The sequence below is a fragment of the Homo sapiens genome, chromosome 3 (genome assembly GCF_000001405.40).
Source record: "Homo sapiens chromosome 3, GRCh38.p14 Primary Assembly".
Lineage (NCBI taxonomy): Eukaryota > Metazoa > Chordata > Mammalia > Primates > Hominidae > Homo > Homo sapiens.
The window spans coordinates 13780550-13798771 of record NC_000003.12 but is presented as its reverse complement, the minus strand read 5'-3'; the positions used below and the strand labels follow the sequence as shown (position 1 = coordinate 13798771).

General features: G+C 53.1%; 1 pseudogene, besides 4 other annotated features; it reads right to left on the bottom strand.

The window, feature by feature from the left end:
- Nucleotides 5575-6215: an enhancer, noted in NCBI's record as "H3K27ac-H3K4me1 hESC enhancer chr3:13834054-13834694 (GRCh37/hg19 assembly coordinates)". NCBI's record gives its function as "activates a minimal SCP1, AML or CMV promoter by ChIP-STARR-seq in primed H9 embryonic stem cells {active_cell/tissue: H9 hESC(primed)}" and the evidence as "EXISTENCE:reporter gene assay evidence [ECO:0000049][PMID:30033119]".
- Nucleotides 6316-6383, bottom strand: TRSUP-CTA2-1 (tRNA suppressor (anticodon CTA) 2-1; annotated as a pseudogene).
- Nucleotides 10354-11093: an enhancer, noted in NCBI's record as "H3K4me1 hESC enhancer chr3:13829176-13829915 (GRCh37/hg19 assembly coordinates)". NCBI's record gives its function as "activates a minimal SCP1, AML or CMV promoter by ChIP-STARR-seq in primed H9 embryonic stem cells {active_cell/tissue: H9 hESC(primed)}" and the evidence as "EXISTENCE:reporter gene assay evidence [ECO:0000049][PMID:30033119]".
- Nucleotides 11094-11834: an enhancer, noted in NCBI's record as "H3K4me1 hESC enhancer chr3:13828435-13829175 (GRCh37/hg19 assembly coordinates)". NCBI's record gives its function as "activates a minimal SCP1, AML or CMV promoter by ChIP-STARR-seq in naive H9 embryonic stem cells {active_cell/tissue: H9 hESC(naive)}" and the evidence as "EXISTENCE:reporter gene assay evidence [ECO:0000049][PMID:30033119]".
- Nucleotides 17473-17972: an enhancer, noted in NCBI's record as "H3K4me1 hESC enhancer chr3:13822297-13822796 (GRCh37/hg19 assembly coordinates)". NCBI's record gives its function as "activates a minimal SCP1, AML or CMV promoter by ChIP-STARR-seq in primed H9 embryonic stem cells {active_cell/tissue: H9 hESC(primed)}" and the evidence as "EXISTENCE:reporter gene assay evidence [ECO:0000049][PMID:30033119]".

Below are 18222 nucleotides of genomic sequence, written 5' to 3'. Positions count from 1 at the left end.
CTCGCACCTCCTCAGAGCACAGCCACTTCCTGCAGGCCCCAGCATGGATCTCCCACTCACCCCGAGCCCCGTGCACCTAGACAATGGTTCTGTAGGACGGCTTCTTTTCAGGGAACTGTGAGCAGGAGTGGGGACACACCACAGCCAGACCTGGGTGGAGAGAAGCGGATGGACCTAGTCCGCCTCTATTCTGGATAGTCACCTTAATAGAGGAGCCACGGGTGGCAGGAGGCTGGGACCCACCTTGCCCATGGGGACCCCCTTTCTGCATGCCCTCCTGGGCTGCTGAAACACAAGAAACCAACCTCCACGGTGTTAGGCCACCAGGATACCTCGGTCTAGCCGCAGCTGGAATAATCAACTAAAACGTGGATTAAGGCATCGAGGCAGGCCCATCACATTCGCTGGAGGAGGAAACCAGAGTAGGCCAGTGCCCGATAGATCTCGGTGAGTGAACCCATAGATGGGATGAACTGAGCCAGCCCTTGCCTCTCTGTGCTCCCTCCAGTGTAAAGAAGTAATATCCATATGTGTGTGTGTGTGTTTATATATATATAGTTATTGTTGCTGTTGTTGTTAAGACAGGGTCTCACTCTGTTGCCCAGGCTGGAGTGCAGTGGCACAATCTCGGCTCACTGCAATGGCTGCCTCCTGGGTTCAAGTGATTCTCCTGCCTGTCTCCCGAGTAGCTGGGATTACAGGCACGCACCACCACACCCGGCTATTTTTTATATTTTTAGCAGAGACAGGATTTCACCATGTTGGCCAGGCTGGTCTCGAACTCCTGGCCTCAAGTGATCCACCCGCCTCGGCCCCGCAAAGCGCTGGGATTACAGGGGTGAGCCACTGCGCCCAGCCATATCCTTTATATTTTTATTAACAAAAGTAATACATGTTCCATAGTTTAAAAACATGCAGAAGTATCTAAAGTGAAGGGTTAAAATACACTCATCTCCAAAATCCTGCTCCCCAGAAGTAACCACTATGATCAGTTTTGCCTATGTGAATTATAAACATATACATACATATTCCCATTGTATGACTGTTTTACAAGTTGTTTTCTGAACGTCAGAAGAAGCACAAATAAACACTCCTCATTCTCTTTAACAGTCAGAGTATTTCACAGCCTGAAGGTATCCAAATGTATTTCATCAGTCTCCTATTTATGGACATTGAATGAGATTCTATGTGTTTGCCACCACCACAAACGACATCGTAGCAAAGATCCTTGAACATATCTTTTGCACAAATGTTGCTGTAAGATTGGCTCCTCAAAGTGGGGTTTTGGGGCCAGACAGTGGTGGTTTTTACATTTTTGTTAGATTCCCTGTCAAAAGAGATGCCCCCTCTGACTCTACTCAACAGAGGGTGTCAGCACCTGGGGGCTGGAGCATCGTGCATTCTATACCAGGGCCCTGGATAAACCCCATAGAGCAGGGGAGGTAGTGAGCTTTCCTTTGCTGGAGAGATGCAAGGGGCTTCAGACCACCACCCACGAGGATGCTGCAGGCGGCGTTTCTCCATCGAACGCCGGGTGCCCAGGATTACCTGTCATTTGTTCCCACTAGCAGATTTTATCTTCATACAAACTTTTAGGGGCCGATCCTGGCTGAGAGCTGCGTGAGGTTCCTTCGCAGCTGAAGTTCCCTCTCCCAGAGCCTGCCTGGGGGAACTAGAGCAACCCTGAGCCAAACAAACAGCTTGAAGATGAAATTTCCCCATCCATCCCTCAGAGACGGCCCTGTGAAATCCATACAAGAAATACACAGCCTTTTAGAATCAGTGCCACTGTTTGTCACCAGATGTTCAGAGGCTGGGGTGCTAATTTATGCAGGCAAGTAGGAAGAGGAGAGATGATCAGAGGGGGCTGGAAGACGGAAGGGGGGCTGTGGAGGAAGCAGGAAGACAATTCTAACCACAGCGCTATAGGATGGGCGGGCTGGGGGAGCCCTGTGCTGGGGGTTGCAAGGAAATGCATTGGCAAAGGGGCGGAGAAGGAGGGGTGACCATAGAACATTTAGGGTCTCTTTTGACAATGAAATGTGATGAGCCAGAGAATCTAAGAATCTGATTTCATTACAAGATCCTGTAATACTGTTGAGAATTTCCATAATCAGATTCCTGGATTCTGTGATTCTGTTTTTCAATGCTCTGATCTGGTGATTCTGAGCCTCTCATTCTATGTTAAAGCTCTAGGGCGGCCCCACAGGGCAGGAGTTTTCGGAGCGAGGCTACTGAAGACCAAGTCTAACTCTGAGTAGTTTGCAGAACCTGGGCACATTGCCTGCCAGTTCCCTGCCTCAGTTTCCTGGGTTGCAAATGGGGAGAGAATGTCTGGGCTCGTGGTGTCGTGAGAGCATTCAGGGAGCACTGAAGCGGGGTCCAGGACACAGTGGGTGTGTAGCTCATGCTGGCTTTGGTGGCTTTGTCCTGAGCTTCAACTGCGATGAGTCCAAGAGTCAATCCTGGGAGCAGAGGCCTGGGACAGAGCTGTTGTTCTGGGTGTTTCTCCAGGTTTGGAAGCATCCGGGGCCCCAGGGCCCAGGTCCACCGGGCGGCCAGCCCTCCACAGCAGGCAGCCGCAAGAAAGCAAAGCAAAGACGCAGAGGGAAGGAAGCTCCTAGGGTTGCGGGGAAGCAAACAAGGGCCACTTCCTCCAACCGCACACTGCAGACAGCCAACCTTTCCCAGGGCCGATCCTCGGGAGTGCTCCTTGGGCGCCTGGCCGGTGTTTGGACAGCTTGAGGGGCGCGGGGACAGAAAAAGTGAAGACGCCGAGAGCCAGGCCCGGCCAGGCCCAGCCCAGCCCCCTCCTGCCCTGCTCCTCTTCAGGGCACCGCTGGGCAGCCCTCCTGGCCACGTGCCCAACCCTGCACCTCGGGCCCTTCTGTCAAAGGGACAGGCCTGTGTGGGGCCTCAGCACGGGGTACTGGAGCTGGGAATAAAAGGACACCAGTGATAATCAGTGTTGACAAAATGCCTCCCAGAGGCCAGGTGCTACTCTTAGTGCCACGTGCAGATTATTTCATTTGGTGATCGTTATATCCTCTGTTATTACCCTAATTTAAAGAAACTGAGGCAGGATTGAGTAATTTTACAGCCCAGATAGTCTGGCTCTGGGCAATCCACGCTCAATAAACCACAGATTTCCTTCCAAGAGATAGCAATACTGAGGCCAGCAGGGACCGTTTTCGGAATAATCCACTTGGTTTATTTCCTTCAAGTCCCATAATGACCCTATTAGGTGGGTATCATTATGTTCCCCTTTTCTTAGATAAGGTAAACTGAGGAGCAGAGAGATGAAGCCACTTGCTCAAGATTATCCCATTAGACAAGGGAGTAGCTGGGATTCAAACCTGTTTCTATCCCTTGCCAAAACCTATGATTGTCACCTCTATGCTAGTGCATGACTTCCCTCTCGCTGTTGAAGCAAATGACCATACACTCAGTGGCTTAAAACAACACAAATGTATTCTCTTACAGTTCTGGAGGCCAAAAGTCTGTTATCAGTTTCACCGGGCTGAAGTCATGGTGTGGGCAGGGTCAGCTCCTCTGAGGCTCCAAGGGGAGAAGCTGTGTCCTTGCCTTGTTCAGCTCCTGGACGCCTTGGCTTGAGGTTCCTTCCCCACCTGCAGAGCACATGTCTCCACTCTGTACTTGCATCATCACTCCCCCATCTTCTCTGACTCTGACCTCCCATGTCCTTCTTGTAATGACCCTCATGACTATGCCATGACTATGCCTGGCTCTATGCATAATCCAGGTGATCATTCCATCTGAAGAGCTTTCATTCCTTCACATAATTAAAGACCCTTTTGCCATATAAGGTAACATAGTCCCAGGTCCCAGAGACTAGGCCATGGTCATATTTGGGGCCCATTATCCTGCCCACCACAGCTGAGCCAGTCTGCGTTTTGCTGGAGCGAAGGTAATGATCTCCTCCTTCCTGGATGTCTATAGGCACATTTTGGGACCACTGGAAACCCTGGTGGTGAAGCTCCTGGATGCTTAACTCAGAACTTGAAGACCTGGGAACTCATCCTCAGCCCGTCTGGAAACACTGAAGCATCCCTGGCCCCACCTGGGGTTACTTCTCCTCCACGGGGCCCCCAGCACTTGGCCTGCACATGCAGGTTTGTATGACTGGGATCCTTGCCTTCGAGCTTGCTGAGGGCAGAGCTCAGCGCCCCTCCCTCTAGCGCCAGCCCACCCCACCATCATGTTTAATAAATGAGCATGGAAGGAGCAAGCCATGGAAGCTCAGAGGGTTCCTGTGACCGCCACGTTCATGTGACATGTCATACTGGAGGCGCTCAGCAGTGTGTGTTGAGTTAATCCCCCACAGCCTGCAGAGTGGCACAGTCCAAGTGAACTTTCTATGATGATGAAAATATCGTATTCTGCATCCTCAAGTGTGGCAGCCACTGGCCACGAGTGGCTACTGAGTACTTGAAACGTGGCTGATGCAACTGAGGATCTGGATCTTGCATTTTTCTTTTTGTAAATTTAAATAGTAATTTACAATTTAATTTAAATGTAGCTAGTGGCTATAGCATTGGACAGAGCAGCTCTAGCATCTTCCCAGGACCTGGGCTCTCTACAGACTCAGACTCGGTTCCAAGGGCAGGTCTTAGCTTAGAATGATCTCTCCAGAACCCTAAATCCCTGGAGCCTCTTCAAGTTACCGCCCCACGACACTCCACCGCCCTGCCTGAGAGGTGTATTTGTAAAGGTCTCAATCCCAGTTTTAGGACCTGGGCCCAGTCCTTCTCCCCATCCCTGCATAGAAATCCTCATCCCTGACAGCCCCACTCTTGTTCCTGTCTGTTGGCCATGGCCAGCATTAACTGAGGGACTGCTAGGAGCCAGGTGTGCACAGGGAGAGAGGAATCATTATTATCCCATTTTGCAGAGCAAGAGGGGAAAGATTCAGCAGGGGCCAGAGGCTTCTCCAGGTCCCCCAGGAAAGCAGAGGCCACACGAGACGACAAACCCAGACCTCCCATGTGCTGCTACAGAGAAACTTCTAGAGCCAAGGAGCCCAGCATCTTGCCGCAGAGACTAACCAGGGTTATCTGGGGCAACAGCAGCGCCCCCGTCACCCTGTTCACCACCCCCAACCTGATTCCCTGCCCGGAGCTGGTTTTCCACCAAGAGTGGGTCAGGGCAGATGGCTACATTAGCAGAGACCCCTGCGGTGCCAGCTTCAGTTTTGTCCAGGGCCGAGGAACAAAGGGCTTTTACGGGGTGTAATCCAGGCCGAGGGGAGAAGAATGGTCAGGTGTATCGAGAGCAGGTTCACATGGAGGGAGAGAGCGAGCCTTGCGGGCCTGGCTGGCACAGGGGCCCGGGTTCCGGCTCACACTCCCAGGGCGGCAGACGGTCGCTGGCAGCGAGTAAAGGCCCTATTTGTGTGCTATGTCAGCAGGGAGGGCAGGCCTTTTAAGGGGCAAGATCATGTGGCCCGATAGCATGCCGGGGCCTCTCCCTGGGGGGGCCCGGGCCCCCTGTGAGGACTGTCGGCCATTGTTAACTGCGCCGCGTGTGAAGGAAAACGGGACACAGGCGGTCAGCTGATACCTGTGCGATCTGGCCACCGGGGGACTCAGTTCCAGTGCCTGCAGCTCCAGTTACACGGCCAGCCAGGCAAGGGGGGTGCGCCAGCCCTGGGAAGGGCCCACGGAGCTGCTGGCCTGGCTGACATGCCCCCATCTGCCGCATGCCCAGGGCAGGCGACAGACAGGGAGCCAGCCAGCAGAGTGAGAAGGTGAGAAGCTGAGACAAATGAGGCCAGAGGTGATGTGAGGTGTGAAGAGGGCACGGCCCTGTGAGCCTTCCCCCAGGTGTGAGCTCACCTTGGAAGGAGGGGCTGGGAGCACACTTTCGGGACTGCTTGACTGTGTCCAACTTCCAAAAGGAAGGGGAAGTTGAGGAGAACATGGGGAAATAAAACTGTGAGTGGAGACTGGAGATGAGCAGGCAGGAGGCTTCCAGCCGCGTTGGGAACCAGCTCTCGCATTTGCCATCCCTGCCGATCCCCACGGGGTAAATCTCAGAGGTACTGGCTGCAGCACGCCGCTGAGACTCCACTTCTAACCAGCACACGTGGGGACTGTGAGTCCGCCAGGTAACAGTGGTGGACTGAGTGCTTATTTAAGGTTTACTGAGTGCGTGCCAGCCCTTGCTGTTAATGTGTTTAGTGATGTTAAAGTGTTTAATCCTCACAACAGCCCCGTGTGATGAGTGTTATGGTAACTCCCACGGGGGAGGCACACAGAGGTTGAGCAACTTGCCCAGGGTCACACAGCCGGGATGCGGCAGAGCCGGGATTTGAACCCATCTGGCTCTAGAATCCATGGTTTTAACCTCTACCCTACCCTGCCCTCCACGGCATCGTCAGTAACAGCCATTTACTGAGCACTAGCAATGAGCCAGGTGGGCTGCTGGGTGAATTCTCTCACTTAACTTGCTAAACCGCCCTTTAAGGTGGTTACTCCTGGTGAATCAGGAAGGGCCCTGGCAGGAAACAGCACAAATGGGTGATGAGAAAAGGGACCTGTCACAGAGGCGCATGAAGGGTTAAGGGAAATGGTGAGGCGCCCTGGGGCTGGTGGCAGTAGGGAGCATTCCCTCCCAAGGTCTGAGACACAGGAATAGAGCCCTTCCTGGAACCTGCTCAGGGAGCTGAGGCTAGAGAAGCAGGCAGCCGCCCACAGCTGCAGCTTCGGTGGACGTAGCCCCAGCCACCTGCAACCCCGCGGTGCGGGAGCTCTGCTCACCCTCCAGCCCCTCTTCAGGCCCACAGAAGTCAGCAGGCTGGGAGCCTGTGGACACAGCCCCAGGGTCAGCCCCCAGGGCACGGAGAAGGGTGAAGGACTAAGAAGGGATCTAGAGGGGCTGACAGGGAATAGCCAGCCGGCTGTCTCCACAAAGCCGGAGCCGGGCTCCTGCAGAGCACACCCACCTACCCATTCGCAGGCTTCCACCTGTCCACCAGCTCGCCTGGGACCAGCCCCAGTCCTCAGACCTGGCCTTGGCCACAGAGATGATGCCAAGTCACAAGGATAAAGTGCCTCCATCCAGGAAACGCTTATCCATCCCTTTACTAAACCCTCTTCATACTGAGTAGGCTGGAGGCTTCAGGCTAGATGCTGTGCAGATACAGGGTGAACCAGACAGCTCTGGAGGCTGCTGAAGGCATTCTGTCCTCCATCCACTGCAAGTGCACATTATCTGATCAGCACCTGCAGGATGGCCAGAGCGTCTAGATACTTACATGGCATTTTTAGATGGTTTTACAAGCCACAGATGTCTTAGACAACATTAACTATATTCATATATGTATAATATGTGTAACAGCCATGTACATCATAATATATGTACATATATGTACGTGCATACACACATCCATCTGTGTTTCCAGACTTTGTGGATGTCCTGGATTATTACTTCACTTAGTCATTGAACAAAATGCCCTGAGGTCAGCCAAGTCCCAGGCCCCAGGAAAAAGGAGGTGGAGAGAAGAACTGGGCACAGAACAATGGTCTCTGAGAAGCCCTTTGTGCCAAAGACCCCAGCATCAAGCCATGGTGTTCCCAGAGCTGTGGAGAAAACCAGGACCTCAGGCCTTCAAAGCCTGTGAGGACGCCAAGACTCATGGGAGCTGGCCGTGCTCGGAGGCAAGACGTGCTGCACATCAGACAGAAAGGTGGTTTCAGGGCCCTGGAGACTGGGAGGGGAAGCCACTGCTGACTCTACCGGGAGGGAGAACCGAGTTCCAGGCCATGAAGGGCAGTGGGTGGATTAAGATGGGACCAGGCAGGCAGCACACAGCTCCTTCAGAAGGGGTGGCTGAAGAGCCCTGTGGGGAGTGCTATTTAGAGGGGTGTGGGCCAGGCTCAGGGAGCCCACGCAGAAAGGAGCAGGGCCAGCACAGTAGGGAGTGAGAAGCAGTGGGGAGTGAGGAGCAGTGGGGAGTGAGGAGCAGTGGGGAGCCACCACCACCCTGGGCCTGAAGGGGCAGGGGAGGGAGGGTTCCAAAACCCAGCAAGAGCTGGGACCCTGGGAGGCTCAACCCAATGGGAAGCAGGAGGGCAGGAGGCCTCGATGGTTCGGGAGGTCAGCCTCCTGGGTGCAGGGCAGGCAGTGTGGAGGGCGGGGCTGGAGGTGGGTAGGCAAAAAGTAGCCAGCCCAGCTGGCTCTGTAGAGCCACTTTGACTAGGTCTGGGTGACAGCTCCACACTAAGGTGGGCTGTGGCCCTGCTGCTTCCTCTTGGCGACTGTGGCCTCAGAGACTTTGGGCCAATCATGATTGGCAGGCCAGTGTGCTAGCGAAACTGCAATGAGGTTGCATAGGTGCGGGGCTCAGCCAACATCACTCCACCTGTGGGCAGAATGGCAGGTGGGACCTGAATGTTAGATCCAAGCACAAGATGAAATTAAGCTGGAGTTTCAGGGTGCCGTGACCAGCTTGGTTCTCACCCTGGTGGGGCTTTCCACCTTCTGACACCCCAGACTCCTGGAGAACACTGGCTGCTGCTACTAACCTGGGTGCCTGCAGCAGGAGCCGAGCCCACTGCCACCCCCAGCTTTGGAATTGCCAGGTCTCTTCCTTACACCATCGTGGCTGTCCAGTTTATTTTCTAGACTAGAGCGCCTGCCACAATCCAGAGCTGTGTGCCTTTGGGCAAGCCGCTCCCCTTCTCCGAGCCTCCTTTTTCTTACCTGTCAAATAAAAATACGCACAGAATGCACTTCTCAGGGTTTGTCAGGATGAACTGAGTCACCGCACTCTGTCAACGGTAGCCGCTACTGCCCTTGCAACCCTGCATGCATTCGCAAATGTTAGTTTAATGCCATTGCCAATAGAAATAAAATGCGAGCCACATAGGTAATTTGAAATTGTCTACAAAGCAAAAAAGATACAGGTGTAATTAATTTTAATAATATTAATATGTTAGTTAAGCCAATATGTCCCAAATAGTATTTCAGTACCCAGCAGCAGCCACATTTCAAGTGCTCGGTGGCCACACATGGCTGGCAGCTACCATGTGAGACAGTGCAGGTTCATGAATGCATGCAACCATGAATGAATGATTGAGAGTTTGCTTCAGGCTGGGGAAATCAAGAGGCTTTCTAGAGGAGGAATTACTGGCATTGGATAGCCAAGGGTGAGCTGTATTTGAACATGTGGGGATAGATAGGGTCACCCAGGGTCATGCCCTCCTTGTTCTACAGATGGGGAAACTGAGGCCCAGAGAAGTGAGCAAGAAGCCTTGGCATGAATTACAAGGAGAAAGTACAGGATTGGGAAGGTGAGCAGGAAATATGTGATTCCTAATGCCAAGCACAGAGAGGGTGAGCAATCATGGGTGAATAAGGGAGTGGGTCAACAGCATTAAGGAGGCAGGGAGGGGAAGGGGAGAGGGAGGATGAAGAAGCCTGAAGGGCTTTAAAAGATCCACTTGCATCCTGCTGCTGCTTAAGATGCTAGACCAGCTGTCACCATGGTAACAGGAGAAAATCACAGAGCAATTTGTAATCATCCATGGTTCTTGCTGCTCCCTGGGAACATTGCTCCCAGTCTGCATCTCTGAACAGGAGGAGCCCTGCAGATCCCAGAGTCCAGCCTCGATCCGATGCTTGAGACCCTTTGCGTCCCCCTCCATGCAGAGCTGTCCATCCGCAGCTCACATAGTTCCCTGAATAGGAAGCTACCTCCTTTTGGGCCAGCCTGCCCCAGCCCTGTGGGGCCTGCCTGGGAGTAAGCTTTCCCTCCCGACAACCTGGAGCCTACTTCTCTTGCTCTGGCCACTGGAGCCCAACTCCACCCTCTCTACCCACAACCCCACTTCCTTCCCTGCCCTAGGACAGCCTTCCGTGACTACCAGCAACCTCTTCTCCATTTGGAGTACATTCTCCGAATGGAGAAGCCAAATGGTTGGCTTCTCTCAACCAGCCCCAAGGACAAAATCCAGGAAAAATCTAAGCAGCATAAAGCACAAAATTCACCTCCCTCATTTTTGGCATAGACCTTGATTAATTGGACCTGAGTTCAAGTTGGCCCAGCCATGGGCTTATTTCCTTGTTGTCTCCATTGTCCTGTCCACTGAGGGTCTCACACACATGGCAACATAATGAGGCTGATACGAAGCTCCTGATTATCCTCTGGGATCTTCCTGCATGTCCTGAATGTCCAAGGTAATTCTCACACTGTCCCCGACTACTCTGTGACCCAGGGATCCCACAGAGGCCCTACCAGGGTGCCTATCTCCATTTTATGGATGAGAAAACTGAGACTCAGTGAGAAGTGACCTGGCCAAAGCCACAACACATAAAGGTGGGAAGCAGCAGGACCAGCATCCTAGGGCAGGCAGAGCCAGTCCAAGGCAGGGAAAGAACAGATTTGGAAGCCTCAGGCTGGACCCCTTAGCACTGGAGTAGGTGGGGAGAGGGCCCATGTTGGGCTGCTGGGACCTCCAGACCAGCGGGAGAAGGGCCTTAGACTCCAGATTCACTTACGATGTGACCTTGGACAAGCTCCTTTCCTCCTCCAGGCCTCAGTTTCCAATTCTGGACAATGGAGCCATCAAGCTAACCTAGGAGGGCTGGAGAGAGGTTTAGCTGAGGCACAGGATGGGGCGCAGGGGAGGAGCTGGGGGCTGAGGGAGTAAGGACGGGTGGGGCACCACCCCTTAGCTGCACGGGGGCCCTGGGACTGTGTCCTTTGCAACCCGGTCTCCATTACCTCTGAGGTCGCCTTGCACGGCTCCATAACTCACTCTGTGGTCCATTACCGCCTATCCCAACTCCGGCCCTGGAAGTTGTCCAGTCACAAATAGAAAGGCGCCAGGGGTTGGCAGAGCAGGCGAGTCTGTGGTTCTGAGGATGGGAGCCTCCTCTGATCAATGGGGTCTGGGGAGAATGCTGCTGGGGGAGAGGAAAGAGCCACATCTTGCCCCTGTCTTGGCCTCCAACCCCTGACCTGGAACCCGCCCTTGGCGGCCGGCAAACACTGACCAACCCCCTTCCGCCCCCCGCTGCAGGGACCCTGGACCTGCCCACACAAAAACTGGGGTAGAGAGAGGAAACGATCCACTGGAAGTTGCTCAGCAGATAGACCCAGCCAGAGCCGAGGTGGGGCAGCCTCAATTCCCAGTGGAAAATTCTTCCCTGGTTTTCATCCAGGGGAGGAGCATTTCCGTTTGTCAGCGGGAGAATCTCATGGAGCCCTGAGGAACCTGAGGACAGGGAAACGCTCCTAGCTAAAGCTTTGACAAGAGGCAGGAGAAAGTTCTGCTCAGCCACTCCCTCCCTATGTGTCTTTAGGTGAAGGGGCCTTTGTTTCCACTGCTGCAAAATGGGTTAATTGTGGGGAGGCTTAACATAGGGAAACAATCTTTTGGGGACCCCCGTCCCTGACTTAGGACCTATATAGGTCACCCCTGACCCCTATCCCGGGACAAAACGTACTGAAGATGCCTGGGCTCTGCTGGTGCCTGAATGGAAGAGAGACCACCCCAGCCACGGTCTGGGAGGAAAACCCCTGTGGGTAGAGGGGCTGAAGAATGACCCAGGGGCCTCAGAGAGCCCCTTTCAGGGTACATGTCCCCAAGCAGCCTGGACCCCAGAGATTACTTTGCTCCTCTTCATCACCCAGAAATTGATTCTCAGAGAGGCAGAGTGACCCGCCTGGCGTCATGGAGCGAGTGAGCAGCACAGGCTGGAAGTGAGCATATGTCCTGGTCCCCTTTATAGCTGCGCTGTCCGGCCCGGCAGCCACCAGCCGCGTGTGGCACGAGCATTTGAAAGGTGGTGAGTGCTGAATTGAGCTGTGCTCTAAGTGTCAAATGCACACCAGGCTTCATGAAAAACAATGCAAAATGTCTCATTCGTAGTAGCTGAAATACAGATTACATGTTGAAATCATATTTGGGGTAGATTGAGTTATGTAAATTAGATAATTAAATTTGATTTCACCTGTTCCTTTTGATATATTCTTTAACGTAACTTCCAGGAAGTTGGAAAGCTCACGTGAAGCTTGCACTCTGTTTCTATGGGACAGCCAGGCCCATCCCCTATGTCATACTGTGCCTCTCACACCTGGTCACTTAACGTACGGGGCCTCAATGACCTCCTCAATCAGGGGAAGGCAGTGGGAATGGTAGAAGGAACGCATGTCAAGCGCTATGGCCAACATTCAAATGTCCCCTGTTACGTGGTTGTTGTCGTTACTGCTGTTGTTAGTACCAGCTTAGGCCCAGAGAGGGAAGCAGCTGTCCTGGGGACACACCGCAAGATGGTGGGACCAGCAGCGGGATCTGAAAGCCCCTCCACCCACACCCCAGATGCCCAGGCCTCAGTAACAGGAGGTGGGAGGGAGGGAGGCAGCTGGAGAACCCTTTGAATTGCTCAGGTCCAAGCGCCTCACACAATGGAATCACTGACCAGGCCAAGGCCAGGGGCCCAAGGCAGGCCTGGCCTCTGTCTGCTTAGCATACCAGGCGGAGGCTCCCACCCCTTCCTGGAGAGGGTTCCAGGAGCAACCATAATGTCCCGATTGTCGTACAATGCCATGATGGAGGGCCCTGTCACATTTTTGTCCCCGTTACTGGGGTCCCCATTCACGGCCACTGTCACTGCACTCAGAACAAGCCAGTCCAGGCCAGGCAGCCTCCTTTGCATTAAAATGGGACGAGAAATAAGCCTTCTCGGCTGTTCAGCTGGGCAGAAAACGGGATTAGGCCAAGGACGGGGCTGAAGGCCCCTTTGGGGGGGCCGCCCCAGGGAAGCCTGGTGTCAGCCGCTGCCCACCCAGACCGGGCAGGCCTCAAACCTGCAGCTGAGGTTTCCAGATGAACTGGGGGCACATAGCCCCCTCCCTGGGCCTCAGCTTCCCTAGACCTGAAATGGGGAGGCAGAGGAAGTCTCCCAACTAAATGAGTGCCTTCAGACTTAGTTCAGTAGCTGAGAAACTCCAAGTTGACAGTAAAAAATGCATGCAATACAGGACAAGGCACAGCTGTCCCACTTGGGTGGGGGCAGGACAAGAGGGTGGCAGGGATGTGCCTGGCTGTCCATCCTTTGGGGTGTTTCCCGGCAAAACTCTGGAGATCCTGAACCACGGAGGGACCCATGGGATAAGGCTGTTTCTAAAGCGGTTTAGTAGCAGCACTCAGCCCCTGAAAGGTGTGCGAAATACAAAAGGACTGAAAGCAACAGAGAGGCCCAACAATAGAGGACGGGCCAGCTCACTCAGGGGACCTCACCCCCGCTGAGTATATCACCAGCAGCAGATTACACATGGGAAGGTTCATACCAAAACATTCACACAGTGAGGCTCGGGATAGCAAAACTCAGAAACAGCCCAAATGCCCATAAATAGGGGACCAGCTAAATAAATCACAAACTATCCATACTCTGGGACCCCTCACAACCACTAAAATGAATGGGGGAGGGCTGTGAAATTTGAAATGGAAGGAAGTCCAAGAAATATTAGCAAGTGAACAAAGAAAGGTGCAGACGAGTGTGTTTAGAGGGGAAATAGACAGTGTGGAGATGCATAGAGAATGTCTGCAATGAAGCCCAAAAAACTATTGACATCGGTAATCTCTAAAAAATTCAAAAGATTGAAAAGGAAAATTTCACTTTGTACCTTATGTACTTCTTTAGCGTAATAGATTGTTTTACCCTATGAACATATATTTCCTTTTAAAGCAAATTAGTAGAAAGGCAACCGCCCTGGTACAGAAGTCCTCTAAGGTCCTCCTGACTTGCTATTTTAATAGGATCAGTTCAACCCATATTGAGCAAGTTCTTCAGAGAGCCATATTCAGTGTAGTCATGATCCAGCCACCAAAACACCCCCACTCAGAGACAGAGACAAGCCAATGGCCTCCTCAGCTCAATGCCACAAAGGCAGCCAGTGCTCAACAGATATTGGCCCAGAGGACGGAGGGTAGCAGCAAAGACTGGGCAAAGGGGGAGAAACCAGCTGGGTCTTGAAGGATGAATATGAGTTTGCAGGACAGATCAACAAGGAAGAGTTTTCAAAGAGAGGGAGAGGAAAAGAGGATGGTGTGTGTATGTGAAAGTCTTTGTCTGTCTTGTCCTTCACCCTGTCCTCAATTCCCCAGCAGATGGTAGGTACTCACTGAGATGTACTCCAAGTGTCCGACACATCAGATGTCAAAAGCCAACATTGCATATATCAGTGTTGGCTACCATTTGTGAAGTGCCAGCTGTGTGCCAGGCGCTGTTCTAGCCCTTCATATCCATGAACTCTACATAACCGTCTGAGGTAGGTAGCACTCTTTATTAGTTTCCCTGCTCTACAGATAAAGAAGCTGTGAGCTGAAGCAGCTAACCCAAGTTCCAGAAACTTGCTGGTGCCTGGGCTGGGATGGGAACCTGGGCGGTCTGCACCAGCGCCCACACTGCGCTACATTACCCTCGCAGCTGGAGAACTTGTTGACTGAACCCTTCAGGTGGGGCCTTATACATGTGTGCACCCTCTCTCTGGCACGTGGAAAGGCACAGAGAGATCTCTTCCTTGCCCCCAGCCCCTCAGCTGGCAAGGGACAGAGTGCAGACTTTAAAGTTGTGTGTCCAGCTCCAAAGCCCGTGTTCCCCTGACCACAGACACTATCTCTGGAAAGGTGCTGGCAACTCAATGCCAACAGGACCCAGGTGGTAAAGGTGAAAGTGGAGGAGAGTAGGCTACAGGGAAGATGATAGAGAATGGTGGGGAGTGTGGTTAAAAAGCAGCACGTGCCTCACCTAAGGTTTCCAGATGTATTATTTCAGAGCACATGAGGCCAGATAAAACACATCAGCGGCCACCAATTTCTAACCTCTGACTTGGCCCACCCCCTGCCAAAGGTGCAGAGGAAGCCTGTTCAGCCATGCCCCTGTCTCTGAGCTCCTTATCCTGCCCCAAGCCAGCCCAGCGAGGCAGCCTTCCTCTTTCACCTTCCAAACCGTTACAGGTTCAATCTGGGTTTGACCTCTTGCTGCAATCCTTCCTGGGCCACACTTCATGGGCAAGGACGAGGGGTGAGTAAAAATGCATGGCAGCTGGTGTTTGCAGTCTGGCCTTATGCCATTCCCGTTGTCTTGGTATTATAAGCCGAATGCAGGCCATCCTCCACACCCTGCCTTTTCCTGAGTCCCAGAGACACCGGCTGGGTGCTCCACGTCAGATTAAATGGCATTTATAACAGCTGTCAGCACGTTTGAGTTGATTACCCTATAATTTGTATGCAGTTGCAGGTCATTACCAAAATTACAATTAAACACTGGCACCCCATAATTAGATGCTTTTATGAATTAGGTCCTGAGGTATTAATGGCAAATTTGTAAGTTCTACCCCTCCCCCAACTCTGATGCCCTTTCCTAGCCAGCTAGGGCCCAAGGTCCGCTTCAGCTCTTCTGAGGACCCCAGCTGGCTTCAGCAGGGGCTTTGCCACCTCCTGGATGGTGGCCACCAGTGTGGAGGTTTGTAGCTTGGGACAGCGAAAATCAGAAACAGTCCAAATATTCAACAGAAACAGCAGGCTGGCTAAATAAGTCATGAGCCATCCATCCGTGCCTTGGGACACTGTGTGATCACTAAAACAAAATGGGGAGGGCTGTGAAATTTGAAACAGAGGATGTCCAAGAAATATTCGCAAATGAACAAAGACAGGCATCGCTCCTTGAAGAAGAATCTGCTTCCCACACATCTAATCCAGACACACAGCCTGTGCTCACCCCATCGATGTTCACGGAGAACCTCCTGGGTGCCAGGCACTGGCTCGGGACTGAGGTTACAGCCGTGAGTATACCATGCAACAATCCCCTCCCAGTTGAGCTGACAGTCAAACAGCAACAACCACAACTGTGAGGAAGGTATCTGGTGTGGGGAAGCACAATAAAGACTAACAAGAAACCGTGACACTGGGAAGGGAGACGGGACGTGCTGCGTGGGCCAGGTGTGGAAATTTTAGACACAGTGATCACAGAAGATCTCCCTGAGAAATGAAAGGTCTTTGGAACCGAGGCAGTGAGCCAACCGGACATCTGGGGGAAGAGATTTCTGGGAGAGGAAACAGCCAGTGCAAATGCCTGGAGCGGGAGAGTGCCAGGCAAAGCTGAGAGCGTGTGGCCAGAGTGCAGTGACTGCAGGAGGGTGAAGGGGTTGGAGTGAGAGAGGTCGCAGGACCCAGATCACAGGGGCCTTATAGGACACTAGGGACTCGGGCGGGTGCTTGAAAAATATTTGTCAAAGGAATGAACTGGGGGAGCTGGAGGGAACCCGAGAGGCAGTCTAACTCCATTCAGGGATCAGAAAAGGCTTTTGAATACTCCTTCCTTTTCCTTTCATTATAAACGCTCATTCCCTGACAACTTGCTCTGTGTGGGGAGGGAGGTCGGCTGATGCACATCAGCCCCCAAGCCCACAGGGAAGCCACCGCTCTCCCCAAATCACAGTGAGGAAAGAGCCTGAGAGGGGCCCAGCATGGTTGAGGAAGCCTCACAGCCCTGGGAGGCAGAACAGCTCAGGAATGAAGAGTGTAGACCTAAACCTGCCCATCAGGTCCAAATCTCACACTGGTTGTGCACCCGAAGCAGCAGATGGGTGTTTACACCACACTGCACCTGTTTCCTCACCTATACAAAGCAGGTGGCACGGAGTCTACCTCAGTAGGTCACTGTAAGAGAGACCCCGCCCAATATCTAGCACACAGCAAAGCTAAAAAGTGGTCATTAGCGCTGTCTTCAGCTCTGCTCCTCTCCACCGTGTGACCTTGAGCAAGTCCTTCCATGTTTCCAAGCCTCAGTTTCCTGATGCTTGCAAGGTGTTCATGAGATACCAGTGGGGGAAAGCAGGTTTGTGTGAAGTGGTGAGTATGTGATGGGTGCTATTGGTGTTGGTTATTGCCGGGATGAGGGCACTAGCGTCAGGCCCTGCAAGAATGCCCCATGATTCCCTTGAGTATGATAGAGCTAAAAAGAGGCAAAAGTAAAATGCACAGAATGCAGACGTCATAGTAAAGCCAAGTGAAAAGCGTTAACACTTTAAGGCCTACCTGAGAGCACTGATTGGCATCAACAGTGGGATAGCTTCTCTAAAGAAGAAGTGAGTAGTTCAGATCGTATTAACCAAGACCTATACCCAGCATAAGGGAGGTGATTGTTCAGTTATATTCCATACAATGCAGAGTCCTCTGAAAGAACTGGGTCCTACCCTTGAGGAGAAGCAGGAATATTCTAGGTACGTTTAGAAGAGAGGAGGAGACGGGCTGGAGACTGCAGCCTGGGAGGAGCCAGAACCATAAGGAAACTCACAGGGAGGCAGACTCTAGCTCCCTGCAAGAAAGAGCATCTTCACTGCCAGAGCTGTGTGGGACTGAATGGGAAGCCATGGTATTAGGGGGTGGGGTGCAAGCAGGACAGCCTGCAGAGAGGTGCTGGGGAGCAGACTGCAGCCCAGGGTTGGGGTTTGAGCCCTTGATCCATGATGTCCTTACCCAATGATGTCCCTCTACTCACCTCCCCATGAGATCTCTGTTGTTGTGAGAATTCAGCAAGTAAAAGCAGCTAAGGTGTTGAGAGTAGCGCCTGCCACCGTTATTTAGGATGGCGGGGTGGGGGCCTAGGCTGCAGGCTCCTGTGTTCTAGAGCCTCTGGAGGAAATAGAGATGTCACGCCACACAGGCATGAAGCTGTCTGCTGGGAACTGGCTTCTCTCCACCCCCAGCCACTGAGAGATTCCCCTGAGAGTCGCCACTGCCCTGGAGATGGTGAATGGGTCTTTGTGTCACCACCCTGCCTGTTGCTGCAGGCCCCCCTGCTCCCTCCCTGGCTCCTTCCCGACCCCGTGGCAGGAAGCATGCCTGCTTCATCCCCAAGATTCAGGGCACCTGTGGCAACTCAGTCAGGCTGTCTGCCCCACACATCCAGCCCCACAAGTGGCCTGGCTTCCCGGGCAGCAGATGGACAGGGATCAGGAGGGGGCAGGAACCCTGAGTCCCCAGAGACCCCACCCCATCTCCCCATCCCCCTGGCACAGCCAGGCTCAAGCCTGGGACAGGTGAGGTCTGCTGGGCTGCTGTCCAGCACCCACCAGAGAATGCTCCATCCTCTGCTCCACACAGACCCCTTCCCAGTCGGGCTGGTCCCCACTACTGGGCTGATCTGGAGGGCAGCTTGGGACCCCTAGAGCAGAGATTTCAGAGGGGC